This window comes from Homo sapiens, chromosome 15 (assembly GCF_000001405.40).
Source record: "Homo sapiens chromosome 15, GRCh38.p14 Primary Assembly".
NCBI classification, from domain to species: Eukaryota; Metazoa; Chordata; class Mammalia; order Primates; family Hominidae; genus Homo; species Homo sapiens.
This window is the reverse complement of record NC_000015.10, coordinates 62,457,976-62,471,164: the sequence shown is the minus strand read 5'-3', so window position 1 is coordinate 62,471,164 and position 13,189 is coordinate 62,457,976. Positions and strand designations below refer to the sequence as shown.

The 13,189-nt window shown below is 46.0% G+C and overlaps 1 protein-coding gene across 2 annotated transcripts in view, besides 1 other annotated feature; it reads right to left on the bottom strand.

Annotated features, from left to right (window-relative positions):
* Window positions 1-13,189, bottom strand: part of TLN2 (talin 2) — a 454,082-nt gene that overhangs the window by 373,467 nt on the left and 67,426 nt on the right. The gene's annotated exons all lie outside the window — the stretch shown is intronic.
* Window positions 5,984-6,515: an enhancer, noted in NCBI's record as "NANOG-H3K27ac hESC enhancer chr15:62756849-62757380 (GRCh37/hg19 assembly coordinates)". NCBI's record gives its function as "activates a minimal SCP1, AML or CMV promoter by ChIP-STARR-seq in naive H9 embryonic stem cells {active_cell/tissue: H9 hESC(naive)}" and the evidence as "EXISTENCE:reporter gene assay evidence [ECO:0000049][PMID:30033119]".

The following is a 13,189-nucleotide window of genomic DNA, read 5'->3' as shown; positions in this document are numbered from 1 at the left end:
CCATGTTGCTCAGGCTCTTCTGGAACTTCTGGGCTCAAGCCATCCTCCTGCTTCAGCCTCCCAAAGTGCTGGGATTACAGGTGTAAGCCACACATGCCCAGCCTTGTGTTTGTTTTTACCCCCACCCTAACCCCAGTTTGGAGCAAAACAGAGGAGTTTTATCATGTTGTGTCAGATATTCAAGAGCTTCTTCATATATATGTCAAGTATTGTCTATAGAACAAATTAGCAATGTCCCAGAATTATATTTTGCTACGTTTAAAATGTACATAAGGCCTACTATGACTAATGAAATATGAATTGCCTCGATAGCCTTTTTGTCTTGATATGTTCTCTCTCCAAGGATACTGAAAGTACAACTACTATTGTCTGCAGGGAAGTGTCACCAAACTTTTAGACCTTCAAAGATGCCCCCACCTTTCTCTCCCAGCACAGTGCCTGCACTGGCTCGGTGGGTAACAAAGGCAGTGGCTGGGGGCTGTCCCAGAGCTCCTGCATGCGGATCTCACCTGCCACTTGAGAACTGCATACCATTCTCACCTGCCCAGCACCTGCTCCAGGCCACTCTTAGGGCTGCTGGGGGCAGGGGCATCAGGAGGCCTGGAGCCTGTGGCCTCTTCCTGCCCGTGCTCTCTGAGGCCTGTGAAGGGCCAGCTAGTGTGAATCACTAGGAATTCAAGTTTGGCAGCCTAGCACCCCAGAGATGCAGAGCTGTTATCAAAGGTCCACTGTCAGCCCTGGCCCAGGCCTTTGACTTAAGGGAACTCGCCATTGGATGTAGTGACTAATGCCTGAGCATAAGCCAGGGTCTCGTTTTCCTCACTGAAGAGTTTCAGCCCCTCCTTGGCTGAGGAGCCCGGGTCGGTTGACTGTCTGGGTTAAACATCAAAGAGCTACCTCTGGAATCTGTTTCCTGGTTTGGCCATCCTCCCGAATGGGTCCCATAGGTTGGAAACACTGACTGTGTCTATAAGTGAGCCCTCAGAATTTGGGAAGGATCCCACTTATGTGCAGTCTCAGTGGGAAAGGGGCATGAGATCATTTTGTTCCCATGTTAGTTGCTGAAACCCTTTGTCCTTCTGGAATTGGCAGGCCTTTACTTTTCCTGAGCTCTTAGCAATGGTTTCCCTATAAAGCTATTGTTTTGAGTCAATCACGAAGAATGCTGGACTTACATGTGCATGCGCTCTCTCTCTCGCTCTCTCTCTCACACACACACCCCCACACAAACACACACCCACACGCAAGAGCCATGCCCATTTTGAGCTCAGGAAAGATGGCAAAATCCACCGGGATGTTTTACTTTTGAAGAAGGTGACATATTGAGGAGTGGGTTCTGTATTCTTAATTTGGCTTTTGCTTTTTTAAACTACCAGACTTTAGCTAGAAGAGAGCCAGTAAGAGCAAAGGGATTAAAATATTTCCTTCATTAGGCATCCACTTAGGAATTGCCTGTGTGTTAGTGCTTTAAGGGTGCTTGTGGGTGGCTCTCAAGAGTGCCAACTCCAGAATCAAGCCAAGCACACAAGCAGCCTGAACAAGAGGAGAGTTTTTCTTTGCACACTCCACCAACACAAAGTATTCAGTCACATTGCTCCATCCATTCAGGCCCTATTTCCCAATGGCAGAACAACTAGTCTTCCTCTGCAAACTCCAGCATTCCTCTGGGGCCAATTTAAAAAAGCTTGGGACTTCAAAATGCACGGGCACACTTTTCTTTATAAAGAACAGCTTTTGGGTAAGCAGCATTGTGAAAGGGACTGAATTTATAAATCCACACAAAAGCCATGTATTTCTTTTGAGACAGATCAACTCACACACTTTGTCTTCTGATTCACTGTGTGTGCTATCTGGTCTACAATGTAGACAGTTCCCTAGGTCAGAAAATGCATCTGCTCATGAACAGACAGAAATGGCAATGTTCTTAACACTTGTCTTAGATGAGAAGTCTGCTTACATGCTCACAATAAAACAAGGAAGCAATTTTTGACTCTAGTCAAGAAGCTTCTGGAATCTTTTTTCCAACACAAATGTTTCTCATTTAGTCCAAGCTCTGTTTCAATTACACGCCAAGAAAAGACAAAGAAAAACCCCCTCTACCACCTACTCCTGCCTTCACGAAAACATTGTAAATTATCTTTATTACATCATATAGAAAAGTCATCTCACATAGGGTAAATTGTTGACAAATGGTTACAGCAGCCGTTTTCTGGGCAATTGCTGTATTCGTAGGTGTTCTTCTGCTCACCTGCCAGGCCCTGGCCTTATCTCTCTCAAGAAAACAGCATGGAAATGAGCATCCCTGTCTGAAGCCTTTGACATTCATTTCTAAAGAATTGTCATGAACATCAACATCAAAAGACAACTCCTTTGTATTTTTTTTTTTATTTTTGTATTTTTTTTATTTTTATTTTTTTTTTGAGACAGAGTCTAGCTCTGTCGCCCAGGCTGGAGTGCAGTGGTGCAATCTCAGCTCACTGCAAGCTCCGCCTCCCGGGTTCACGCCATTCTCCTGCCTCAGCCTCCAAAGTAGCTGGGACTACAGGCGCCCGCCACCACACCCGGCTAATTTTTTGTATTTTTAGTACAGACAGGGTTTCACCTTGTTGGCCAGGATGGTCTCAATCTCCTGACCCTGTGATCCGCCTGCCTTGGCCTCCCAAAGTGCTGGGATTACAGGCATCAGCCACCACACCCAGCCGACAACTCCTTTGTAACATTAAATAATTTCAGAAATGAAAACTGACTGGCTGGAGTGTCTTAACATCTTAACTTTCCCCAGCTTAGTAAATCCCAGCTGTGCAGGGGATGTCAGTAATTTAACTTTCACATGGACCCCACAGCCAACACCCTTGTCATCATTCTGTTGCAGGCATTTCAAAGAAGTTTAAATCAGCATGCTATACCCTCTGGCTCATTTCCTAGTTTAGGTCAACTCTTAGGTGGCAATGCTTAAGCTCTGAGGGTCCCACACCAAAATGAGGCCTGCTCCAAAATTTATTTTGGAAATTTATTTAATAAATTAAATTTAAAAATTTATTTAATAAATTAAATTTATTTAAGCCTTCGCAACAGCTTTCCAATTTACACCAAAAGGATGGAAGGAAAACTTAAGGGTCTGGATTATTAAAAGCTAGACAACCTTTATTATTGTTGTTTATTCTTTCTAAGGCTCTGCCTGGTGATAAGTGTGTGAACTTACCCAAGACTATGCCAAGGATGTGTCTTTTCTGCTCCAACCAGAAATTTTAGATGCAGAAGGAACTTTGGAGATCTGGCCCCGCAGGGATTATAAAATTATCTGGCCAAAACTCCACAAAGGACTAAAGGGGTGGGCCACCTGACACTAGGGAAGCCATTCACAGCAAGTCTGAGGTTTCCTTCCTTTATGAAGTTCTGTGTTCTAGCTTAAATTCATGTCATGCAAATTTTGCAATTATTCAATATGTGCATGCTTTTTTTCACACTAATTTTTTTTTTGAGACAGAGTCTCACTCTGTCACCCAGGCTGGAGTGCAATGGCGCAATCTCAGCTCACCGCAACCTCTACCTCTTGGCGATTCTCCTGCCTCAGTCTCTCGAGTAGCTGGGATTACAGGCGTGCACCACCATGCACGGCTAATTTCGTATTTTTAGTAGAGACGAGGTTTTGCCATGTTGGCCGGGCTGGTCTCGAACTCCTGACCTCAGGTGATCCACCCACCTCGACCTCCCAAAGTGCTGGGATTACAGGCGTGAGCCACCACAGCCGGCCTTAAAATAATCTCTTGTCTTCCATATTACCTGAGTAAAATTAAGGCTCCAATAAGATATCTTAGGTTTATCCTGTGGTTTCACAAATCCAGGCTCACCACTTAGCACTTCACCCCTATCTGGGAAGCAAAAATTTTGTCTCTCTCCTTCTCCTACAGACAATAACCTACTGCTCAATTATGTTTGGTGACCTGACCAAAAGACTTGGAGGCAGGCCAAGGCACAGAACCCAGGACTCCGGCCTCCTGGTATGGGGCTCTTTGCCACTTTACATCCATCCAGTTCACAGGCACCCACAGCCATTCCGTAACTCATAAGGCAATGGTCAACTTTAAAATCTGCCCACACATCTCTATATCGAGGGAGGTTTAGTTTGGTGAGTGTCCTCCCCCAAGCTTGAGGCAAGGCTCACAAAACGGAGGGCTAATTCTTCACTGGCTTTCAGAATGCTGAAATCTCATTGGCTTTTGGAATATTTTGACAACTTCCCCACCCACTGGGCAGTTTGTCCCCATTCACAGCCATTTGCAAAAATTAAAAGTACAAGCTGCTTAGTGGAGACAAGGTCAGAGTCAGTGTCATCAGCATCCCAAATCTGAAAATAAAACCAAAATCAAATCTCCTTAGGGGAAAACTGTCAACCCAAACACAAGGCGGTTTAATACAGAACTGTGTTGACCACTTTCCTATCAACAGGCTTTCAGCCAGTGTTACCTACTGGAAGGGCTACAGTAAATACTAAATATCTCAGCTGTGCATTTTATATTCCAAAGCAAAAGGAGAAAAGGGATCATGCTAATATAAAAGCTGTGTTTACAAATTCCCAGGGGCATCATAAGTCCTCTAAAGCAACGGTTCTCAACAAGGAGCAATTTCACCCCACAGGGAACATTTGGCAATGTCTGGAGACGTTTTTGGCTGTCACACCTGAAAGGGGGTGGGGATGCTAGTGGCACCTACTGGGTAGAGAGGCCAGGGATGCTGCTGAACACCCTACGATGCACAGGCCAGCCCCGCACAACAAAGAATCATCCAGCCCCAAACGGCAACAGTGCTGAGGACTGAGAAAGCCTAAAATGTAGGAAGCAGGAAGAAGACTAGAACAAAGTCACGAGTCCTAGTTCGTTCTCTGATAGGCTCCTCGGTCCAGACATACCACCGGACCTTCCTGGGTCTCTGGTTCATTGTCACTAAACAGAGAGGTTGGCCTGTTTCGGAGGTTTTGCAACCCCTAGACTGAGTTCAACCATTAATTATTCAGGGCTTAAAGTACGGCTGCTCTCCAGGCTGGCAGCCGCTGCCTCTCATCATACCTCCCCTGATCAGGGGGCATTTCCCACCAGTTCTCTCAAAGCCCCATCATATTTCCTCTGGAAAAGGGAGCAATGCTAAAAGCAACTGCTTTCTCCTTATCACCAGCCACCACGCCAGTCCCTCGCGACCTCCTACTCCACAGGAATGAGACACAAGGAGTTCCTGGACTCTACAAACTCCTTCCAATCCTAAAACCTATGATTCTATTCAGCCAACAAACTAAGGACAGACATGGAAGCTTCATTTCCAATTCTATGTTCTGCTCTGCAGAAATGCATAAACAGAAGAGAAAAAAAAATGCTTTACAATAAAATTTAAAAACAGCACAGCTGCAACTGCATTCAATGTACATGTAAGAATTTTCCATTTTCATAATACTTTGCAACCATAAAATCAGCTCACTACCCCATCTTAGGGGACAGACTTAGTATTAAAGCCATTGTTTCATGGATAGAGAAAATGTGCTACCACCTTGCCATTCCCAAAACCTTCTCCATTGGCTCCAGCTGTTTACACAGCTCCATGGAAGACAACAACTTAGCTGAGAGGCTAAACCCCTCCACACATAACCCGATAGTTTCGAGAACGACAGAACACAGGGACTGTTTTACATGTAAAATGTTCACGTTCAGGAAAAGGAATATAACTGGCCTGACTAGGGGAGAGGATTACGGTTTTCACTGCCTCCATACAATTATCATCACACTCGTTCTCTGAAAGAGTCGGAGACAGAACCACTTCCCCAGCCGCACCGCACAGGAATCCCATTATCACACACCAAGCCACGGATTCTCCAGGTGGCAAGCTGGGATAGGGGGGCTAGGCCAACGGGAAAGTAAGCGATAACTCCCAGCAAAGAGAGAGAACCAGAGGAATCTTCCAAGGCTAAAAGGAAACAGCACATACTGCTGCTGCCAAGTAGAAGAACTAAAGGGCTTAGCATATTTCATTTGCCTTAAAAACAAAAACCAAAAAAAAAAAAAAAAAAAAAAACGCGCTCACCACAAGTTTCCCAAGTACATGCATTATCCATTAGAGCAAATGAGAGAGGAAATCTAAAGATCATTTAAGGGGGGAAAAAAGACTACTGAAAACTCTGAGTAATCACACATGCACCCCCATAGTGCCCATGGGCAACAGAGGGTTAACATCCCGGGGCAAAGTTTCCTCTCAGCAAGTACAAATCCGAAATCATCATCAAGATGCTGAGTGATTTAGTCATGAGCCCTCCCCTCAGCCATCAGAAGGAATGGCAAAAATGCAGAGTGAGTGCTAGGAGCCAGAACAATTTCATTTTCCTCCTAATTGTGCAAAGAATTTGCATTTAAAATGAGCACTTCAAGAATGCCCGATAGCTGGCTGCTAACATGAACAAGAATAAAAGTGATCCATCACCCAACAACACCAAAATTTTTTGCAATTATTTAATTGCAAAAAAAGTATTTGGGTACCCTAGTAGACTGAAGAACACTTCTGGCTAATTACCTCTCACAAGTCAGGTGTCAGATTAACTTTTTTTTTTTTAAATATACTTTAAGTTCTAGGGTACATGTGCACAATCTGCAGGTTTGATATATAGGTATACATGTGTTATGTTGGTTTGCTGCACTCATCAACTCATCATTTACGTTAGGTATTTCTCCTAATGCTATCCCTCCCCACTCCCCCGATCCCACAACAGGCCCCAGTGTGTGATGTTCCCCTTCCTGTGTCCAAGTGTTCTCATTGTTCAATTCCCACCTATGAGTGAGAACATGTAGTGTTTGGTTTTCTGTCCTTGCGATAGTTTGCTGAGAATGATGGTTTCCAGCTTCATCCATGTCCCTGCAAAGGACATGAACTCATCCTTTTTTATGGCTGCATAGTATTCCATGGTGTATATGTGCCACATTTTCTTAATCCAGTCCATCACTGATAGACATGTGGGTTGGTTCCAAGTCTTTGCTATTGTGAATAGTGCCACAATAAACACACGTTTGTGTGTGTCTTCATAGTAGCATGATTTATAATCCTTTGCATATACCCAGTGATGGGATTGCTGAGTCAAATGCTATTTCTAGTTCTAGATCCTTGAGGAATTGCCACACTGTCTTCCACAATGGTTGAACTAATTTCATTCCCACCAACAGTGTAAAAACATTCCTATTTCTTCACATCCTCTCCAGCATCTGTTGTTTCCTGGTTTTTATTTGTTTGTTTGTTTGTTTGTTTGAGACAGAGTCTCGCTCTGTTGCCCAGGCTGGAGTGCAGTGGCGCGATCTCAGCTCACTGCATGCTCTGCCTCCCAGGTTCATGCCATTCTCCCACCTCAGCCTCCCGAGTAGCTGGGACTACTGGTGCCCACCACCACGCCTGGCTAATTTTTTGTGTGTTTTTAGTAGAGACGGGGTTTCACCGTGTTAGCCAGGATGGTCTCGATCTCCTGACCTCGTGATCCATCCATCTCAGCGTCGCAAAGTGCTGGGATTACAGGCGTGAGGCACCGCGCCGGCCTGTTTCCTGACTTTTTAATGATCGCCATTCTAACTGGCGTGAGATGGTATCTCATTGTGGTTTTCATTTACATTTCTCCAGATTAACTCTTAAAAATGCACTCACATCGCATTAACAAAGGTAACATGGAAACAAGGTACCTTCTTGGTGGCTAGGCTTCCCTAGAATCAAACTTTTATGCTTTCTACATCATTTCAGATTTACAAGCTAAGTGAAATAGAGAAATCAATCAGGAATTAAAGACCTGTCAATTAACAACAACGGTTCTCACCACTCATATCCAAAACACAGAACTGCAGTTTGACTTTTGAAGGGAGGAAGAGATCCAGAAGGGAACACAGAGGTGGGCGGACGGTCAGAAAGTGGGAAGTCAGTGGGTGGCTGTAGCCTTGCTCTGTAAGAGGGACAGTTTCAAGAGCTTCATGAAAGACACAAGAGCCTTTTATCTTCTTTCCTCACTAATAAAATTAGAGGGTGAAAATATACACTAGAAAAACATCCAAAGAAGTTCAGAAAAGGGCTGCCAGAGGCAGGGGGGTTGGGGGAAAGGCAAGAGGCACCCCTACTCTGACGGGGAATAAGTACCCCCGTGGCCACGGCCATCAGCCAGCTGCTCAGCAAAGAGGGAGCTCTAGAGAGTTTGGCGCTGTCCTTAGTGTCTCCTTCCACATCCTCCTCCCTATGGGGGTGGCAGCTGTGCGGTCAGGAGAGATTTTCCCCAGAACCAGACAATTTCCTAACAAGGGCATTTTCATTAAAGATGAGACACAAGGCAATGAACGAGGGAAAGAGAAATGGCCAGAGGATGCTGTCCAGCCTGCATGTGGGTCTCATTCCCACCAGAGCCTCACACCACACTGGTTCTGGTTCCGGAAGGGAAGCCCAGAGCCCAGCTGGCAAGAGCCACACCCACAGCGCCAGGCCATTTCCTCCAGCTCTGGTCTCTCATTATTCAGCCTATAGCACTACCTCACTTGTCTCCTAAAAACAGGGGTCCCCTCTGGCTAACCAGACTTCCCTCCATCCCCAAGATGCTAACATGCCTGGCACACTCTCAGCCTGGCAATCTGGACCCTGAGGGTCCAGGGAAGATGAATCACTGGTTAAAAACCAGGAACCCAAGAGTAGTGCTGGTTTCCAAAACAGATGGCCCTAACAATGTGTCCAGCCAGTTTCCTCAAGTGGACAGCCCACGGGCCTTTCAGAAGACCCAGGCAGGGGGCCAACTGTGGACAGCACAAAGCAAAGTACATGTTTCCTGGTCCTCTCCTGGGGGCTTCTGTGAAGCAGCCCACACTGGTGCTCCTTCTTCCATCATTTAGTTTATTATTTTTATTTATTGATTTTTTATGTTTATTTATTTATGTTTTTGAGACAGAGTCTTGCTTTGTCACCCAGGCTGCAGCGCAGTGCCGCAATCTCGGCTCACTGCAACCTCCGCCTCCCGGGTTCAAGCAATTCTCCTGCCTCAGCCCCCAAGTAGCTGGGACTACAGGCACCCGCCACCACGCCCGGCTAATTTTTGTATTTTGTATTTTGTATTTTTAGTAGAGACGGGGTTTCACCATATCGGCCAGGCTGGTCTCGTGATCCACCTGCCTCAGCCGCCCAAAGTGCTGGGATTACAGGCGTGAGCCACCACGCCCAGCCTAGTTAAAAGTACAGACAGATACAGCCCTTCCTCCTGACTCCAACAATGAGAAGTTAAATGTCCCAGGCCATGACTTCCTCAGCTTGGATAGGGTCTAGCCAACAGCTGGTCACTCTGCGCTCACCAGGCCACTCTTGAGCCACCAGCAATTTCTGTGAGTGCTCCTGTGCATGCTCTTCCCCTCGCATGGAGTAGGCGCCTCTTACCTGTTGGCCTTGCTCTCATCCTTCAAGCCCTCGCTGAAATGTCGACTCTTTAGAGACCATCCAAAACAACTGCTCCTCTCCCTCTAACACACCTTGCTTGTCTTATTTCTGCTCTCACCCCTAGGGCCTGAGCCAGAGCCTGGCCCGCAGTGATGCTCAGTAACTATTTACTCAATAAATGAATGCACTAGGAAAAGCAAAGCAAACACATCTAAATACTACGTCTAGGTATAAACCCATCCGTGTTGAAGACATAAATAACATTATTCGTATTGCTCTATACATCACAGCCAGAGTCTGGAAACTGCCTACATACCTACGTACAGAAGAACAGGTACGTAATATGAACAAAATGAATGAGTACCATATTATGATGAGAATGACAGACCCACAACTCACACGAAGATGGAGGCAAATCTCACAAACATCATGCTGAACAAAACCAGAAACAAGAGGACACACTGGGCAGGTCCATTTACATTAAGTTCAAAAACAGGCAAAACTGGCCAGACGCGGTGGCTCACGCCTGTAATTCCAGCATTTTGGGAGGCCGACGCAGGCGGATCACGAGGAAGTTCGAGACCAGCCTGGCCAATATGGTGAAACCCCGTCTCTACTAAAAAATACAAAAATTAGCCGGGCATGGTAGCGTGTGCCTGTAGTCCCTGCTACTTGGGAGTCTGAGGCAGGAGAATCACTGGAATCTGGGAGGCAGAGGTTGCAGTGAGCTGAGATTGCGCCACTGTACTCCAGCCTGCTGGGCAACAGAGCGAGACTCTGTCTTAAAAATAAAATAAAATAAAATAAACACACACACACACAAGCAAAACTAAGTCGAGATTATGACTGTGGGAAGGCGGTGCACCAGCAGGGGTATCAGGGGGCTTCTGAAATACTGATCAGGTTATTTCCTGAGCTGGATGCAGGTTACACAGGTGAGTTCAGTTTGTGAAAATTCATCAACTCGTCCAGTTATGATTTGTGTTCATTTCTCTATGCTCTATTTCAACAAAACTTCATTGCAAAGAGAGAAAACATTATCTGAAATAAACATGGAATTCTTATTTTTCTTAATAAAGCCAGCTAAAGATTCCTGTCCATCATGAGGACTGGCACCTGACATAGAGCTTCCCTTGGATGAGTGGCACACAACACCTGCCTCTTCGTACAAGACCACGTGGCTAGTGCCGGGCACGGTGGCTCACACCTGTAATCCCAGCACTTTGGGAGGCCGAGGCGGGTGGATCACCTGAGGTTGGGAGTTTGAGACCAGCCTGACCAACATGGAGAAACCCCGTCTCTACTAAAAATACAAAGTAGCCAGGCGTGGTGGCACATGCCTGTAATCCCAGCTACTAGGGAGGCTGAGGCAGGAGAATTGCTTGAACCTGGAGGCGGAGGTTGCGGTGAGCTGAGATCATGCCATTGCACTCCAGCCTGGGCAACAAGAGCAAAACTCCATCTCAAGGGAAAAAAAAAAAAAAAAACCATGTGGCTACTTATTCAGGTGAGGTGTGAACACATCAAATGCACCCCGAAGCTGAAACCTGCTAGGACACATGGCTGGCTGCTGCAATCTTCTTCCACCTTTGCAGTCCTAGAAAGCATAGGTCCTGATAAATATTAGTGGCTTTAAATGGAAACAGGTGGTAGGACTGTCACTGCCTGAGGCTGATGCAGCACCTCGGCAGACATCTGAAGCCGCAACTCTGCTCAGAGCCTACAGAGCTGAGGTCCTGGATCACATCAGAGAGGGGGAGTAACAATCGTGGGTCACCCGCTGCCTCTTTCTAGTAATTTCTTCCTTTTAAATTATTTCACGAAAATTGATCATTCAAGGGGAAAATCCTCTCTGAGGTAGGGGGAAAAAACTACATGAGTAACAAAGCAATCGCTTTGGCTAAGCTTTGGCTCACCCCAAAGCTTAGGACCTCAGACACTAAGTGGCCCCAGGCCAACTGTGACCCAAAGAACAAGCCCCTGGAACAGGATCACATTCAGCAGGAGGAAAGAAAAACAACTAAAGCCTGCCCCAGGACACCTACTAAGACTCAACTCAAAGTTAGCAAGCAAAAGGGCTTGCATATTCTTTTGCACTAAAGGGCCCAAACAAGTGTTGGTTGGATGTTGTCAACCTGAAAAATAGAAGTTCAGACTTGACTTGCCTAGCACACCTGCACATGTTCATTCACACACTCATACACACAGGCATGCACACACTTTCCTATTCAAACTCCAGTAAATTTTCCTCTATCATAAATTTTTTACTTACTAGGACATTCAGGGCTTGAGGAATAGTATACAGGTATCGTTACTGATTTATAAGACACAGCCCCTTTTAAAATAAAGTGCATTCTTATTTTGTCATCCTATTCACATGTCTGCCCTGTGAGGTAGAAAGAGCAGCAAACTGATCTCCATTTTACTTAAAAAAAAAAAAAAAAAAAAGGCCGAGCGTGGTGGCTCACACCTGTAATCCCAGCACTTTGGGAGGCCAAGGTAGGTGGATCACGAGGTCAAGAGATCGAGACCACCCTGGCCAACATGGTGAAACCCTGTCTCTACTAAAAATACAAAAAATTAGCCAGGCTTGGTGGCAGGAACCTGTAGTCCCAGCTACTCAGGAGGCTGAGGCAGGAGAATAACTTGAACCCAGGAGGTGGAGGTTGCAGTGAGCCAAGATTGCGCCACTATACTCCAGCCTGGCGACAGAGTGAGACTCTGTCTCCAAAAAAAGAAAAAAAAAATAGAGTCTACTGCTTTCCACATAGAGCTAGTGCCATATAAACCAGCAGACCCCTAAATAGAGGTTTAGCCACTAATAGCCTCCCCTCCTTAGGTCTTCTAGCCACCAGAGAGGAGGGCAGAGGTAGGAGAGGGATGCAAAAAGGAAGAAATGCTGATTAAGTAAGCAGGGACATGCAAGGAGAGTCGCACTCAAGCCCTGCATCATCCTTGAGTTTTTTATTTTTTCTTTTTGAGACAGAGTCTCGTTATGTTGCCCAGGTTGGAGTGCAGCAGTGCCACCATGGCTCACTGTAGCCTTGACCTCCTGGACTCAGGTGACCCTCCCACCTCAGCCTCCAAAGCAGCCGGGACTATAGGTGCGCACCATGACACCCAGCTAAATTTTTTTTTTTTTTCTGTAGAGACGAGGTTTTGCCATGTTCCCCAGGCTGCCCCCTCAAGAAGATACTTCTTAATCAAGTATCTTCAAGAGGAATCTCTCTCCCTCCTAGAGGTTTGTGAGACACTCCAGGAATGGCAAAGAAAAACCATGACCAACCAGCAACATCTCTTTATTAACAAGTAATCAATGTGCCATCTCTCATTAAGCCCAGCTCAGAATGAGAAATTGGAAAGGCACAAGGAGCCAAGTCGCCAATGTGAAAGAGATTCCAAATGTACTATTTCTAACACCCATCTCAAGGAATCAGGGAGAGGCGGCGGGCAGCAGGGGTGGAGGAGTGACCCCGCCTGACCCTTAGCATGGAGAGACACTGGAAAAAAGGCCTGGGCACAAGAGTAAGCCTTGTCCCCACTGGTCATCGCTACATAAGCCCTCACTCCCACCAACGAGATGCCCACACCACTGCAGAGGTGGCGCTGAGAGCCACCAGCAATAAAGGCTCTACCGTTGACTCATACAAAAACTTCAGAATCCCAGGAAAGGGACGCCAAGGCCCAACAACTGTGGATGAGGGACCATTGACCAGACCTGACCATCATGTCGTTGTCAACTGAAAAACATTTTTTTCCAGTTTTCTGGCAC